Source organism: Homo sapiens, chromosome 19 (genome assembly GCF_000001405.40).
Source record: "Homo sapiens chromosome 19, GRCh38.p14 Primary Assembly".
Classification (NCBI taxonomy): domain Eukaryota; kingdom Metazoa; phylum Chordata; class Mammalia; order Primates; family Hominidae; genus Homo; species Homo sapiens.
Window position 1 is genome coordinate 40,636,052 of NC_000019.10, and position 16,578 is coordinate 40,652,629.

Sequence of the window (16,578 nt, forward strand, 5' to 3'; positions counted from 1 at the left end):
GCTTTGTTCTGTTTTTGAGACGGAGTCTCGCTCTGTTGCCCAGGCTGGAGTGCAGTGGTGCAATCTCAGCTCCTGCAACCTCCTCCTCCTGGGTTCAAGCAATTCTCCTGCCTCAGCCTCCCGAGTAGCTGGGACTACAGGTGTGTGCCACCATGCCCAGCTAATTTTCGTATTAATATTTCCAGTACAGACGGGGTTTCACCATGTTGGCCAGGGTTCTCGAACTTACGGCCTCAAGTGATCTGCCCACCTTTGCTTCCCAAAGTGCTGGGACCACAGGTGTAAGCCACGTCGCCTGGCCAGAAATATCCCTATTCTTTTCTTTTCTTTTCTTTTTTGAGATGGAGTTTTGCTCTTGTTGCCCAGGCTGGAGTGCAATGGCGAAATCTCGGCTCACTGAAGCCTCTGCCTCTGGGGTTCGAGAAATTCTCCTGCCTTAGCCTCCTGAGTAGCTGGGATTACAGGCACCCACCACCACACCCAGCTAATTTTTTGTATTTTTAGTAGAGACAGAGTTTTGCCATGTTAGCCAGGCTGGTCTTGAACTTCTGACCTCAGGTGATCCGCCCCCCTCGGCCTCCCAAAGTGTTGGGATTACAGGCATGAGCCACCGCTCCCGGCCAAATATCCCAATTCTTAAGAAATACATAGGGCGGCTGAGCACATTACCTCATGCTTGTAATCTCAGCACTTTGGGACACTGAGGTGGGACGATCCCTTGAGCCCAAGAGTTCAAGACCAACCTGGGCAACATGGCAAGAACCCATCTCTCAAAAACTTTAAAAATGATCCAGGTGTGGTGGCTGCAGTGTCAAGGCTGCAGTGAGCCAGGATCATGCCACTGCACTCCAGCCTGGGTGACAGAGTGAGACCCTGTCTCTACGGAAAAAAAGAAAGAAAAGAAAAAGAGATACATTACAGAAGTTTTTGTTTGTTTGTTTGTTTGTTTGTTTGAGACAGTCTTGCTCTGTCGCCCAGGCTGGAGTGCAGAGTGCAGTTCAGTTCACTGAAATCCTGGTTCACTGCAACCTCACCTCCCGGGTTCAAGTGATTCTCCTGCCTCAGCCTCCTGAGTAGCCAGGACTACAGGTGTGTGCCACCACACCCAGGTAATTTTTGTATTTTTAGTAGAGACAAGGTTTCTTCATCTTGGCTGGGCTGGTCTCGAACTTCTGACCTCAGATGATTCGCCTGCCTTGGCCTTCCGAAGTTCTGAGATTATAGGCATGAGCCACCGTGCCCAGCCCATTATAGAAGCTTTTAGGGGTGATGTTGTTTGTAACTTAGCCTCAAAGATTTTTTTAAAAATCAGAAAAAGAAAATACATAACAGAGAAGAGAGCAAGTGATAAAGGAAATGAGGTAGAAATGTTACCAATCCATGAACCTGAGTATAAAATACAAGAGAGTTCTTTGTCCTATTATTTGTCTTGCAACTTTTTGGTAAATTTGAAATTATTTCCAAAGGAAAAGTTAAAACACTTTCTAAAATTGAGAGATCTAAAATCTTAGGCCAGGCGTGGTGGCTCACACCTGTAATCCCAGCACTTTGGGAGGCTGAGGCAGGTGGATCACATGAGGTCAGGAGTTGGAGACCAGCCCGGCCAATATGGTGAAAACCTGTCTCTGCTAAAAATACAAAAATCAGCTGGGCATGGTGGGAGGTGCTTGTAATCTCAGCTACTCAGGCACGAGAATCGCTTGAACCTGGGGAGCGGAGGTTGCAGTGAGCCGAGATGGCGCCACTGCACTCCACCCTGGGTAACAGAGCAAGACTCCAACTCAAAAATAATATGAAATAAAATAAAATCTTAGACAACACTATCATTATAAGTAGGATTGGGGAGATCAAAAACAACATGCTCTGTGCTCCAGGTACTGTTTGGTGTGATGTTGAAAATATTAGATTTTAAACTTGATTTTTTCTTTTTTTTTTTTTTGAGGCAGAGTGTTGCTCTGTCGCCCAGGCTGGAGTGCAGTGGCGTCATCTCGGCTCACTGTAACCTCCGCCTCCTAGGTTCAAGCGACTCTTCTGCCTCAGCCTCCTGAGTAGCTGGGACTACAGGTGTGCGCCACCACACCTGGCTAATTTTTGTATTTTTAGTAGAGACGGGGTTTCACCATATTGGCCAGGCTGATCTCGAACTCCTGACCTCATGATCTGCCCTCCTCGGCCTCCCAAAGTGCTGAGATAACAGGCGTGAGCCACTGCGCCTAGCCTAGACTTGATTTTTTAAATTTCTGTCCTCCAATAGAAATAGACCTGATTTTTAAAAATGTGCATGGCCAGGCACAGTAATTCATGCCTATAATCCTAGGACTTTGGGAGGCCAATGTGGGAGGATCACTTGAGCCCAGGAGTTGGAGATCAACCTGGACAACATAGCTAGACCCTGTCTCTACAAAAATAAAAATATTAGGTGGGTGTGGTCTTGTACACCTGTAGTGCCAGCTACACAGGGGGTTGAGGAGGGAGGATCCATTGAGACCAGGAGTTCCAGCCTGCAACGAGCTAGGATCTCACCACTGCACTGCAGGCTGGGCAACAGAGCAAGACCCTGCCTCAAAAAAAAAAAAAAAAAAAAAAGCATGTTAAAATTTCAAAGATTGCTACAAAAAGAAAGAAATGGTGCATAGATTCCAAACTAGTAGAGGGAAAACAAAGAATAAGAAAACATAAGACAAAACTAAACAAAAAATGCAGCCAATTCAAAGAAGCTTAAATGAGCATGAAAAAATAAATAAACGTAGAAAAATGAGGACACTAGAATCACAAAGCAAAATGGTAGAAGTAAATAAAATACATCATTAATCACATACACAAAAAATGTATTCAGGGCCAGGTATGGTGGCTCACACCTGTAATCCCAGCACTTTGTGAGGCTGGGGCAGACGGATCACTTGAGGCAACAAGTTTGAGACTAGCCTGGCCAACATGGTGAAACCCCATCTCTACCAAAAATACAAAAAAAAAAAAAAAAAAAAAGAAGAAGAAGTTATCCAGGCATTGTGGTGCACGCCTGTAATCCCAGCTACTTGGGAGGCTGAGGTAGGAGAATTGCTTGAATCCAGGAAGTGGAGGTTGCAGTGAGCTCAGATTGCACCACTGCACTCCAGCCTGGGTGACAGAGTGAGACTCCCTCTCAAAAACAAACAAAGAAAAAATGTATTCAGAGGCCAAATACTTCTTACCACCTCCATAGCTGCCACCCATATCTTACCCTCCTCCTAGGGTTTGGAGTTCCTACTCCTGGCCCCACAATCTCTCCCCGTCATGCAGATAGAGGGACTCTGGGAATAACCAAGTCAACTCAACTCCCTCTGCTGCTCAAAACTTTCCTGTGGCTCCATCTCACTCAAAGATTATTTTGCTCATTTTTTTTTTGTTTTTTTTTGAGACAGGGTCTCACTCTGTTGCCCAGGCTGGAGTGCAGTGGTGCAAGTCATGACTCACTGCAGCCTAGACTTCCTCGGCTCAAGCCATCCTCCAGGCCTCCAGGGCTACCACAACCCAGCCAATTTTTTGATAGAGACGAGGCCTCCCTTATTGCCCAAGCTGGTCTTGAACTTATGGGCTCAACTTATCTACCCACCTCGGCCTCCCAAAATGCTGGGATTCCAGGCCTGAGCCACTGTGTTCCGCCAATCTCATTCAAAGTAAGAGCCAAAGTCCTCACTGTGGTCCAGCAGACTCTGCACCGTCTGCTTCTTGTTCCCTCTCTGACCTCACCTCCCCTCCACCCCCCACACGCTCCTCTGCAGCAACACGGATCTCCTTGTTGTTTCTCTAAGATCCAGACATGTTCCCATCCCACCCCAGGACCTTGGCACTGGCTGTTCCCTCTGCCTAGGGGACTCTTTCCACTAGGTTCAGTTTCTCTTTTTTTTTTTTTTTGAGACGGAGTTTTTTCACTCTTGTTGCCCAGACTGGAGTGCAGTGGCACGATCTCGGCTCACAGCAAGCTCCTCCTCTCAGGTTCAGGCAATTCTCCTGCCTCAGCCTCCCGAGTAGCTGGGACTACAGGCACCCGCCACCACCCCCAGCTAATTTTTGTATTATTAGTAGAGACGGGGTTTCACCATGTGGCCAGGCTGGTCTCGAACTGCTGATCTCAAGTGATCCATCTACCTCAGTCTCCCAAAGTGCTGGGATTACAGGTGTGAGCCACCGCGCCTGGCCCCCTTGGCTCAGTCCCTCACCACCAGCAGAAGAATGGATAAACTGATCCCACAGTGGCCTGCAATGTGTGTGTGCTGCAATGAGAATAACCTGTAACTGCACACGACAACCAGGATGAATTTTTTTCACGGTGCTGACTGAAAAAAGCCAGATGCTAAAAAGAACATATTTTCAGATTGCATTTACATGAATTCAAAACAGGCACAACCAATCTATGCTGTCAGAAGTGAGGGTGATAATGACCTTGGAGGGAGGGCAGGTGATAAGGGAGCGCCGAGGGGGCTTCTGGGGGGCTGGAGATATTGCTTCTTGGGCTGGTGGCTGGTGACACAGGTGTGTTCAATCGGTGATAATTCCTCCAGCGGTTACACTTACGGTTTGTACTTTCCTGAATATGGGTCTACTTCAAGAAACCACTGCTGAAAACGAGGAGCTGCACCCACCACCCAGTGTCCCCTCCATCCAGTTTAAGCAACAGGACATTCTCAGCCCCCCGGGGTCCCTCCCTCCCAATGCAATGTGCTTTTATGTCTTCAAGGGGCCTGGCCACCACCTTGGTTGCTTCCCCCAGCTTGCTATGCATGTCACCCCACGCATGTTCCAGGCAGCTCCACAGAGGTCCCCAGAGAGAAGGCAGGCTGTGGGTGGGAGGAAGGGCAGGGGTGGGGGACGTGGCTTCCCAGCGGAGCCCGGGCAGGGGGAGGAAACATTTCTGCAACACCCCACACCAAGTCCTGACTTCGGGGGGGCTTTGCAGGGTGAATTCTAAGTGCCCAGGGCCCCATGTGAAGGGGTCAACTGTGTCTCACTCTGTGTCTGTCTCTCTGTCTGTCTCTCTTCCTGTTTCCTCCCTCCCTCCCAGTCTCTCTCTCCTCAAGAAGAAAAAAACTCACAACTATTTACATAACAATTTTATATCAGACTGTAACCCAAAAACCCAAGTTCCAACTTCGAATTTTTCAATAAACTTTGAATAAATAGTAGTGCTATTTTTCTTTCTTTTTTTTTTTAGTACTGTAATGTTTACTTTTAAATTTAATTTTTACTGGCAGACTTTACGTATATGAGGTTCAAGAAAAGAAAATCTCCACTGTTTACATTTCTTTTCTGACTATTAATATTGTTCATTTCATTTCCTGATTATTACTGGCAATAATTTTGTCCTATGGGGAAGGGAGGCGCTTGGCAGGCCTCGAGTTATCCTTTGAGACATGGGGGTCTGTGGTCAGATTTAGAAAGTGCTTGTGGGTGGCTGGGTGGGAGTGGGTCATGGGAGACATAAGGGCAGGCTGGAGTCCAGGGAGGAGGCCGGCCGGGCAGGGACCCAGGCAGCGGAGATGGACAGGGCCATGGAGAATCTGGGAGGCGCAGGCCCTGGGGACTGTGGATTGGGGAAGGAGATAATTTTATTTTATTATATTTTTTTGAGACAGAGTTTCAGTCTGTCTCCAAGACTGTAGTGCAATGGCACGATCTCTGCTCACTGCAACCTCTGCCTCCCGAGTTCAAGGGATTTTCCTGCCTCAGCCTCCCAAGTAGCTGGGATTACAGGCACGCACCCTCACACCCAGCTAATTTTTAATATTTTTGGTAGAGACGGGGTTTCACCATATTGGCCAGGCTGGTCTCATACTCCTGACCTCAAGCGATCCACCTGCCCCGGCCTCCCAAAGTGCTGGGATTACAGGCATGAGCCACGACGTCTGGCCTAATTTTTTGTATTTTTAGGAGAGACAGGGTTTTGCCATGTTGGCCAGGCTAGTCTTGAACTCCTGGCCTCAAGTGATCCGCACACCTCAACCTCCCAAAGTGCTGGGATTACAGGTGTGAGCCACTACGCCCCGCCAAGGGAAGGGGAGAATTTGAGTGCTATTGAAGGTAGAAAACACAGAACATAGGCTGGGTGTGGTGGCTCATATCTCTAATCCCAGCACTTTGGGAGGCCAAAGTGGGAGGCTGGCTTAATCCCAGGAGTTCGAGATCAGCCTGGGCAACATAGTGAGACCCCTGTCTCTACAAAAAATTAAAAATTAGCCAGGCATGGTGGCACCCACCTGTACTCCCAAGGCTACTTAGGAGGCTGAGGTGGGAGGATCGCTGGATCCCAGGAGATCTGAGGTGAGCCGTGATCATGCCACTGCACTCCAGCCTGGGCAGCAGAGTAAGACCCTGTCTCCAAAAATAAAAAATAATTTAAAATAAAGCGCGGAACACTGTCAGGTTGTCTGTGGGGGAGCAGCGGGCAGGCGACCAGGAGGGCTGGCTGCTCTGTGCAGGGCTAGTGCCTGGGTTGGGATGACTCGGCCTCAGAGCTGTAAATAAAGAAGGAAGAGGGCCGGGCGCGGTGGTTCACGCCTGTAATCCCAGCACTTTGGGAGGGCGAGGTGGACTAATCACCTGAGGTCGGGAGTTCGAGACAAGTCTGACCAACATAGAGAAATCCCATCTCTGCTAAAAATACAAAATTAGCCGGGTGTGGTGGCACATGCCTGTAATCCCAGCTACTCGGGAGGCTGAGGCAGGAGAATCGCTTGAACCCGGGAGGCAGAGATCACAGTAAGCCGAGATCACAACACTGCACTCTAGCCTGGGCAGCAAGAACAAAACTCCATCTCGAAAAAAAAAAAAAAAAAGTAGAAGAAAGAAAGAGCTGCCACAGTTGAGAGCTTCCTGGATGCCTTTGTTAACTCTTGGGGTTTTCACATACCCATCTTACAGATGGGGAAGCTGAGGCTCAGAGAGAGGAAGGCCCAAGTGGAAGAGCAAGCCTGGAGCCCAGGTCTCCTCCTGCCTAATCCTGGGCTTTTGCTGGTGGACTCCCGCCCAATCTTGAATAACTTCAGGCCTTAAACAACCTCCCACGATTGCTTTTCCTCCCATTAGAACAATAAATGCAGATACAAAAACCAACTATGCTTGTCTACAAAGCCCAAGAGAATTTTTGAAGTAATAAAACTGTCATGAATGCAGACTGTGGTGATTACATGACTTACGAATTTTTCAAAACTCAGAATCGAGCCAGATGAAATGATCCTGCCTGCAATCCCAGCACTTTGGGAGGCTATGGCAGGAGGATCATTTGAGGCCAGGAGTTCAAGACCAGCCTGGCCAACATGGTGAAACCCCGTCTCTACTAAAAATACAAAAATTAGCTGGGTGTGGAGGCACATGCCTGTAATCCCAGCTATTTCAGCAGCTAAGGCAAGAAAATTGTTTGAACCCGGAGGCTGAGGTTGCAGTGAGAAATGATCGTGCCACTGCACTGTAGACCCTGTCTCAAAAACCAAAACCAAAACCAAAAAAAGAAAAAAAAACCCTTAAGAATCAGGATTATACACGAGCACACGCACACTCACCCATAAATTTTACCATTTGTAGAAAAGAAGAAGAAAATTCAAAACCAAATACAATGAATGTACTTTCTCTGGATTCCAATTCACACCAAACAACTGTAAAAATCTGTTTTTGAGACAATTGGGGAACACAAACTGGCTTTTAGGAGATATTAAGGAATTTCGGTTAATTATGCTAGACTTGATAATGCCATTGTGGTTGGGTAATGCCCACATACCATGCCTTGGCTGGGCGTGGTGACTCACACCTGTAGTCCCAGCATTTTGGGAGGCCCAGATGGGAGGATTGCTTGAGCTCAAGAGTTCGAGACCAACCTAAGCAACATAGTGAGACCTCATCTCTACACAAAATTTTAAAAAACATTAGCCGAGTGTGGTGGGGTGCGCCTGTAATCTCAGCTACTCAGGAGGCTGAGGTGGGAGGAGTACTTAAACCCAGGAGTTTGAGGTTGCAGTGAGCTGAGATTGTGTCACTGCACTCCAGCCTGAGCGACAGAGCAAGACCGTCAAAAAAATAAAGAAAGAAAAGAAAATGTACCCTATTCTTCTCTTCAAGGTGCTCATTGAAGTATTTACAAATGAAACAACATAATACCTCTCACCTGTAATTTTTTAAAATTTTTATTTATTAATTTTTTAGAGATGGGGTCTCATTCTGTTGCTCAGGCTGGAGTGCAGTGGCATGATCACAGCTCACTGTAACCTCAAACTTCTAGGCTCAAGTGATCCGCCCGCCTCAGTCTCCCAAATAGCTGAGATTACAAGCACTGGCCACCATGCTTTGCTAATGTTTTAAAAATTATTTTTGTAGACACAAGACTATATTGCCCAGGCTGGTCTCAGACTCCTGGCCTCAAGTGATCCTCCCAACTTGGCCTCCCAAAGTCCTGGAATTACAGGCCTGAGTCACCGTGCCTGGCCAATTTTTTTTTTTTTTTGAGGTGGAGTCTCGCTCTGTCGCCTAGGCTGGAGTGCTGTGGCCTGATCTCGGCTCACTGCAAGCTCCGCCTCCTGGGTTCACGTCATTCTCCTGCCTCAGCCTCCCGAGTAGCTGAGACTACAGGCCCCCACCACGCCTGGCTAATTTTTTGTATTTTTAGTAGAGACGGGGTTTCACCATGTTAGCCGGGATGGTCTCGATCTCCTGACCTTGTGATCTGCCTGCCTCGGCCTCCCAAAGTGCTGGGATTACAGACGTGAGCCACTGCGTCCTGCCCTGCCTGGCCTATTTTTTATTTTTATGTTTTTTACAGACAGGGCCTCACTATGCTGCCCGGACTCGTCTCAAACTCTGGGCTCAAGCGATCCTTCTGCCTCAGCCTCCTGAGTAGCTGGGACTACAGGGTGTGATTTTTTTTCAAGTATTCAAAAAAATGGGGAGGGGAAAGAAGATGAAATGGCAAAATATTGATGGTTCTTGAACCTGGGTGATGAGTATATGTAAGCTTATTGTCTCTTGACTTTTTGTGTCTGTTTGAAAATTTTCATGATATAAGAGTTTAAAAACTGAAAATAAAATTTATTGAAGGAGAGTTTGGGCCGGGTGCAATGGCTCGCGTTTATAATCCCAGCACTTTGGGAGGCCAAGGCAGGTGGATCACCTGAGGTCAGAAGTTCAAGATCAGCCTGGCCGACATGACAAAACACTGTCTCTACCAAAAATACAAGAATCAGGCTGGGTGCGGTGGCTCATGCCTGTAATCCCAGCAGCACTTTGGGAGGCTGAGGTGGGTGGATCACAAGGTCAGGAGTTCAAGACCAGCCTGGCCAAGATGGTGAAACCCCGTCTCTACTAAAAATACGAAAATTAGCCAGGTGTTGTGGTGGGCGCCTGTAAATTCCAGCAACTTGGGAGGCTGAGGCAGAGAATTGCTTGAACCTGGGAGGCAGAGGTTGCAGCGAGCCGAGATTGCGCCACTGCACTCCAACCTGGGGGACAGGGCGAGACTCCTTCTCAAAAAAAAAAAAAAGAAAAAGAAAAAGAAAAATTAGCCAAGCGTGGTGGCAGGCACCTGTAATCACAGCTACTCGGGAGCTGAGGCATGAGAATCGCTTGAACCCGGGAGACGGAGGTTGCAGTGAGCCGAGATCGTGCCACTGCACTCCAGCCTGGGGTATAGAGCGAGGCTCTATCTCAAAAAAAAAAAAAAAAAAAAAAAAAAAAAAAAAAGGAGAGTTTGGCGTTCATCAAGCAACATTTGGAAACTACAGAGAACTAGCAAGGCAAAGACGCCCCTCCCATCCCTAAGTCCTGTACCACTATGGTTGTTGACATTTTGATATATTTCCTTTCAGCCTTTTCTATTCTCTGTGAGCTTTTTAAATGCGTGTGTTGTGTGTGTGCACGTGTGTGTTTTACATAACTGTGTGAGCAAATTGTTTATACAGCCCTGTTTTTTCCCCTCTTAAAATGTAAGCTGTTCCCCTGTTAAAACATCTTTGGATAAACACAATCTCTAATGTTTGCACTATGTTTATTCAAAAGGGCAGCATTGCCAGAGGTTGAAGCTGTTTCCAATTTCCTCCCATTATAAATAATCCCCTCATGGACCTCCTTGTGTGTCCCAGAGGAGGGATTCTTGGGCCAAAGGGTGCGGACCCTTTGGCAGAGCTCATGGTCAAAAATCTCGGCAGAGTTTCAGCCTGACCCGAAGCTAAGATGACCTCATACGGTTAAAGTGAGATTGGACTGCTATTTATTTCCTGAACGTTTGATTCATGACTCAGGCTTGTCAGGGGATCTTTTTTTTTTTTTTCTTCTGTATGTGCTTGGTTGCAAGAAACAGAAATCCATTCACACTAGCTCACGTCAAAAGGGCAAGAGAATCGCTTGAACGCGGGAGGCGGAGGTTGCAGTGAGCCGAGATCGCGCCACTGCACTCCAGCCCGGGCGACAGTGCGAGACTCCGTCTCAATAACAAACAAACAAACAAAAAAAGGGCGGGGGGTGTTGTATCCTTCAGCAAGTAAAGCTCATATTCAGCTTGGACTAGCTGTCTGCGGAGCATGTTGTTGGGGTATATCTAGGCTATGTTGATTGTTGAAATACTGAATTATTTCCGTATTGGTTGGTAAATCATTCTGTCTCAAGTCGCTCCAATGACGTCCTCCACCAAGGCCACTCTAGCTGCCCTGGTCCCTCTCCCAGGACTTCCCAGACCTCTCCACAATGCAGGAAGTAAAGGGTCAATATCGGGCACAGAAGTGAACCATGCTGCTCGGTCAGTGCCCAAAGTATTGGTTGTGAAATTCATTTTTTCTTTTCTTTTTTTTTTTTTTGGAGACAAATTCTCACTATGGAACTCAAGCGATCCTCCTGCCTTGGCCTCCCAATGTACTGGGATTAAGGTGTGAGCCACTGCACCTGGACTGCTTGTAAAATATTTGATGATTCGCCTAGATGCAAGTACCAGAACAGCTGACTCAAATGGCTTAAATTGTAAGGGGAATCTGTGGCTGGAAAATCCACACTTGTGCTGGCTTCAGCCAAAGTTGACACAATGGCTCAGCCATGTCACCAAGGACTTTCTTTTCTTTCTTTCCTTCTTTCTTTCTTCTTTCTTTTTTTCTTTCTTTTCTCTCTCTTTCTTTCTCTCTCTCTTTTTTTTTTTTTTTTTTGACGTAGTCTGGTTCTGTTGCCCAGGCTGGAGTGCAGTGGCACAATCTTGGCTCACTGCGGCAACCTCCAATTCCCCGGAATTCAAGTGATTCTCCTGCCTTAGCCTCCCGAGTAGCTGGGACTATAGGTATGTGCCACCACGCCCAGCTAATTTTTGTATTTTTATTTTTTTATTTATTATTTTTTTAATCATTCTTGGGTGTTTCTCGCAGAGGGGGATTTGGCAGGGTCACAGGACAATAGTGGAGGGAAGGTCAGCAGATAAACAAGTGAACAAAGGTCTCTGGTTTTCCTAGGCAGAGGACCCTGCGGCCTTCCGCAGTGTTTGTGTCCCTGGGTACTTGAGATTAGGGAGTGGTGATGACTCTTAACGAGCATGCTGCCTTCAAGCATCTGTTTAACAAAGCACATCTTGCACCGCCCTTAATCCATTCAACCCTGAGTGGACACAGCACATGTTTCAGAGAGCACAGGGTTGGGGGCAAGGTCACAGATCAACAGGATCCCAAGGCAGAAGAATTTTTCTTAGTACAGAACAAAATGAAAAGTCTCCCATGTCTACCTCTTCCTACACAGACACAGCAACCATCCGATTTCTCAATCTTTTCTCCACCTTTCCCCATTTTCTATTCCACAAAACTGCCATTGTCATCATGGCCCGTTCTCAATGAGCTGTTGAGTACACCTCCCAGACGGGGTGGTGGCCGGGCAGAGGGGCTCCTCACTTCCCAGTAGGGGCGGCCGGGCAGAGGCGCCCCTCACCTCCCGGACGGGGCGGCTGGCCGGGCGGGGGGCCGACCCCCCCACCTCCCTCCCGGACGGGGCGGCTGGCCGGGCAGAGGGGCTCCTCACTTCCCAGTAGGGGCGGCCGGGCAGAGGCGCCCCTGACCTCCCGGACGGGGCGGCTGGCCGGGCGGGGGGCCGACCCCCCCACCTCCCTCCCGGACGGGGCGGCTGGCCGGGCAGAGGGGCTCCTCACTTCCCAGTAGGGGCGGCCGGGCAGAGGCGCCCCTCACCTCCCGGACGGGGCGGCTGGCCGGGTGGGGGGCTGACCCCCCCACCTCCCTCCCGGACGGGGCGGCTGGCCGGGCGGGGGGCTGACCCCCCCACCTCCCTCCCGGACGGGGCGGCTGGCCGGGTGGGGGGCTGACCCCCACCTCCCTCCCGGACGGGGTGGCTGCCGGGCGGAGACGCTCCTCACTTCCCAGACGGGGTGGCTGCCGGGCAAAGGGGCTCCTCACTTCTCAGACGGTGTGGCTGCCGGGCTGAGGGGCTCCTCACTTCTCAGACGGGGCGGTTGCCAGGCAGAGGGTCTCCTCACTTCTCAGACGGGGTGGCCGGGCAGAGACGCTCCTCACATCCCAGACGGGGCGGCAGGGCAGAGGCGCTCCCCACATCTCAGATGATGGGCGGCCTGGCAGAGATGCTCCTCACTTCCTAGATGGGATGGCGGCCGGGCAGAGATGCTCCTCACTTTCCAGACTGGGCAGCCAGGCAGAGAGGCTCCTCACATCCCAGACGATGGGTGGCCCGGCAGAGACGCTCCTCACTTCCCAGACGGGGTGGCGGCCGGGCAGAGGCTGCAATCTCGGCACTTTGGGGGGCCAAGGCAGGCAGCTGGGAGGTGGAGGTTGTAGCGAGCCGAGATCACGCCACTGCACTCCAGCCTGGGCACCATTGAGCACTGAGTGAACGCAACTCCGTCTGCCATCCCGGCACCTCGGGAGGCCGAGGCTGGCGGATCACTCGCGGTTAGGAGCTGGAGACCAGCCCAGCCAACACAGCGAAACCCCGTCTCCACCAAAAAAATACGAAAACCAGTCAGGCGTGGCGGCGCCTGCAATCCCAGGTACTCGGCAGGCTGAGGCAGGAGAATCAGGCAGGGAGGTTGCAGTGAGCCGAGATGGCAGCAGTACAGTCCAGCTTTGGCTCAGCATCAGAGGGAGACCGTGGAAAGAGAGGGAGAGGGAAACCGTGGGGAGAGGGAGAGGGAGAGCGAGAGCGCATCAGAGTATTTTAACAGCAGAATTGATCAAACAGAAGAAAGAATTAGTGAGTTTGAAGACAGGCTATTTGAAAATACACAGTCAGGCCGGGCCCAGTGGTTCATGCCTATAATCCCAGCATTTTGGGAGGCTGAGGTGGGCGGATCACCTGAGGTCAGGAGTTCAAGACCAGCCTGGCCAACATGGCAAAACCCCGTTTCTAGTACAAGTACAAAAATTAGCCAGGAAATGGTGGCATGTACCTGTAGTCCCAACTACTCAGGAGGCTGAGGCACAAGAATGACTTGAACCCAGGAGGCAGAGGTTGCAATGAGCCGAGTTTGTTCCATTGCACTCCAGCCTGGGTGACAGAGTGAGGCTCTTTAAAAAAAAAAAAAAAAAGTCCAGGCGCAGTGGCTCATGCCTGTAATCCCAGCACTTTGGGAGGCGGAGGCGGGCAAATCACCTGAGATCGGGAGTTCAAGACCAGCGTGACCAACATGGAGAAATCCTGTCTCTACTAAAAATATAAAATTAGCCGGGCGTGGTGGCAAATGCCTGTAATCTCAGCTACTCAGGAGGCTGAGGCAGGAGAATTGCTTGAACCCAGGAGGCAGAGGTTGTGGTGAGCCAAGATGGTGCCATTGCACTCCAGCCTGGGCAACAAGAGTGAAACTCTTGTCTCAAAAAAAAAAAAAAAAAAAAAAAAAGATGAAAGAAAGAAAGAGAAAGACACAGAGACAAAAAAAGAAGAGAAAGAAAAAGAAAGAGGAAGAAAGAAAGAGAGAAAAGAATAAAAAAAAAGAGGAAGAAAGAAAGGAAAGAAAAAAAGAAAAGAGAAAGGAGGGAGGGAAGGAAGGAAGAAAGGAAGGAACGAACAAACACAGTCACAGGAGACAAAAGAGAAAAAGTTTTTTGTATTTTTAATAGAGACCGGGTTTTACCATGTTGGCCAGGCTGGTCTTGAACTCCTGACCTCAAGTGATCTGCCTGCCTTGGCCTCCCAAAGTGCTGGGATTACAAGCGTGAGCCCCCGTGCCCGGCCAGACCCCATTTCTCCCATTTCTTTTTATCTCTCTGCTTTATCTTTTCCAGTGGAAGCTCCCAAGATGACTACCTCCAGCCTCTGGCCACAGGGAACCTTCTTCATATCCCACAAGCAAAGGAGAGCACCTTTGGCTCAGGTTTCCTGCCAAAGTAATGAGGCTAACTCTGATTGGGCCAACAGAGGGCACGTGTTCATGCAAGAGCCAATCACTGTGATCGGAGGGACAGAAGGAAAAACCATAATGGCCAGATTGGCTGAGCCAAGTCACATGTTCCTCAAATAGTAAGGTGAGTGGCTCACACTAGGGCTGCAGGAGCCACACCTGGGTTCAATTTCCATTCCAAACAAATTTCTGTCTTCTCTGCCCTGTTTCCCGTCAGTAACATAGAGATAATGAAGGCACTCATATGGTAGAGTTCCCGTGAGGATTAAATGAGTTAGTTAATGCAAAGCACTGAGAATGGTGCCCATATACAGAAAGCGTTCAAATGTTAGCTTCTGTTATCGTCATTACATGGCCATTCTCACCTCTTAAGGCTGCTTTTCTTTGCAAGCTCCTTATGCTCCACACATTTCCCTCTTTCTAGTTACTATTGCTTGGTAACAAATCACTCCAAAATATGGTGGCCCAAAACAACAACAGTCATCCTATTATTTTTCACTGTGTCTGTGGTCAGAGTTTTGGGAAGGACCCAACTGGGCAGTTCTGACTTGGAATTTCATATGGTTGCAGTCACTTGGCAGCTGAAACTGGAACAGGGAAGCAGCTGGGGGTGGATGGATCTCTCTCTCTCTCTCTTTCTCTTACTCTCTCCCCACTCCATGTTGTCTCAGGGCTTCTCAATGTGGTCTCTCCACGCGAACTGGTTTGGGCTCCCTCACATCATGACAGCCTCTGGGCAGTTGGACTTACATGGCAGCTTCGGCATCCAGTACAAGTGTTTTATGAAAGTAGCAGCCGCGACTGGGTGCGGTTGCTCACGCCTGTAATCCCAACACTTTGGGAGCTTGAGGCAGGTGGATCACCTGAGGTCGGGAGTCCAAGACCAGCCTGGAAAACATGGTGAAATCCCGTCTCTACTAAAAATACAAAAATTAGCTGGGCATGGTAGCACGGGCCTGCGGTCCCAGCTACTCAGGAGGCTGAGGCAGGAGAATCGCTTGAACCTGGGAGGCGGAGGTTGCAGTGAGCCGAGATCACGCCACTGCACTCCAGCCTGGGCGACAGAGTGAGACTCCATCGAAATGAAAGAAAGAAAGAGAAAGAGAGAAAGAGAGAAAGAAAGAAGGAAGGAAAGAAAGAAAGAGAGAGAAAGAAAGAAAGGAGGGAAGGAGGGAGGGAAGGAGGGAAGGAAGGAAGGAAGGAAGGAAAGAAGGAAAGGAAGGGGCCTTATCTCTTCTGATCTAGCCTTGGAATCATGCAGCATTACTTCTGCCACATAGTCTTGGTTACAAGCAAGTCACAAACTGCCTAGATGTAAGGGGAGCTTACACAAATTCCACTTCCCAATGGAAGGGGTATCAAAGTTCTAGAGGAATATATGGGCTGGGAAACATTGTTGCCACCATCTTTGGAAGTTACATCTGGCTTTTACTGGTACTGATTTAAGACCCACCTCTATACAGCCTGTGCCCAATAACATCCACCTGGGCACAGCTCCAACTCCCTGTTCTAAACAGAAATAGTTTATTGAGAAATCTCAATCCCTTGGGATCAAAAACATGACAGTTTCCATTTGTTCTGCAGTGACTGCTCTCTACCTGCTATCTATTGTTTTCCAAGACTATGATCCAAAATCACAGCATCCAAGACTGTGTCTTTTTTATTTATTTATTGTTTTCGAGACAGGGTCTCACTCTGTCGCCCAGACTGTAGTGCAGTGGCGCAATCTCCACTCACCGCAACCTCTGCCTCCCAGGCTCAAGAGATTCTCCTGCCTCAGCCTCCTGCGTAGCTGGGATTACAGGTGCACACCACTACTGCCTGGCTAATTTTTGAATTTTCAGTAGAGACAGGGTTTCACCATGTTGGCCAGGCTGGTCTTGAACTCCTGACCTCAAATGATCCACCCACCTTGGCCTCACAAAGTGCTGGGATTACAGGCATGAGCCACCACAGCTGGCCCCAAGACTGTGTCTTTATTATTATTATTATTTCGAGACAGAGTCTAGCTCTGTCTCCTAGGCTGGAGTGCAGTGGTGCGATCTCAGCTCACTGAAACCTTCACCTTGCCAGTTCAAGCCATTCTCGTGCCTCAGCCTCCGGAGTAGCTGGGATTACAGGCACGCACCACTACACCCGGCTAATTTTCGTATTTTCAGTAGGGACGGGGTTTCCCCATATTGGCCAGGCTGGTCTTGAACTCCTGACCTCAAGTGATCCACCCACCTCGG

General features: G+C 49.2%; 3 annotated features.

The window, feature by feature from the left end:
- Nucleotides 842-963: a silencer, noted in NCBI's record as "fragment chr19:41142798-41142919 (GRCh37/hg19 assembly coordinates)". NCBI's record gives its function as "represses an EF-1alpha promoter that drives an FKBP-Casp9 reporter gene in an ReSE screen in phorbol 12-myristate 13-acetate-treated (for megakaryocytic differentiation) K562 erythroleukemia cells {active_cell/tissue: K562(+PMA)}" and the evidence as "EXISTENCE:reporter gene assay evidence [ECO:0000049][PMID:32094911]".
- Nucleotides 11,433-12,414: an enhancer, noted in NCBI's record as "NANOG-H3K27ac hESC enhancer chr19:41153389-41154370 (GRCh37/hg19 assembly coordinates)". NCBI's record gives its function as "activates a minimal SCP1, AML or CMV promoter by ChIP-STARR-seq in primed H9 embryonic stem cells {active_cell/tissue: H9 hESC(primed)}" and the evidence as "EXISTENCE:reporter gene assay evidence [ECO:0000049][PMID:30033119]".
- Nucleotides 16,187-16,236: an enhancer, noted in NCBI's record as "active region_14661". NCBI's record gives its function as "activates an Ori minimal core promoter by ATAC-STARR-seq in GM12878 lymphoblastoid cells {active_cell/tissue: GM12878}" and the evidence as "EXISTENCE:reporter gene assay evidence [ECO:0000049][PMID:35858748]".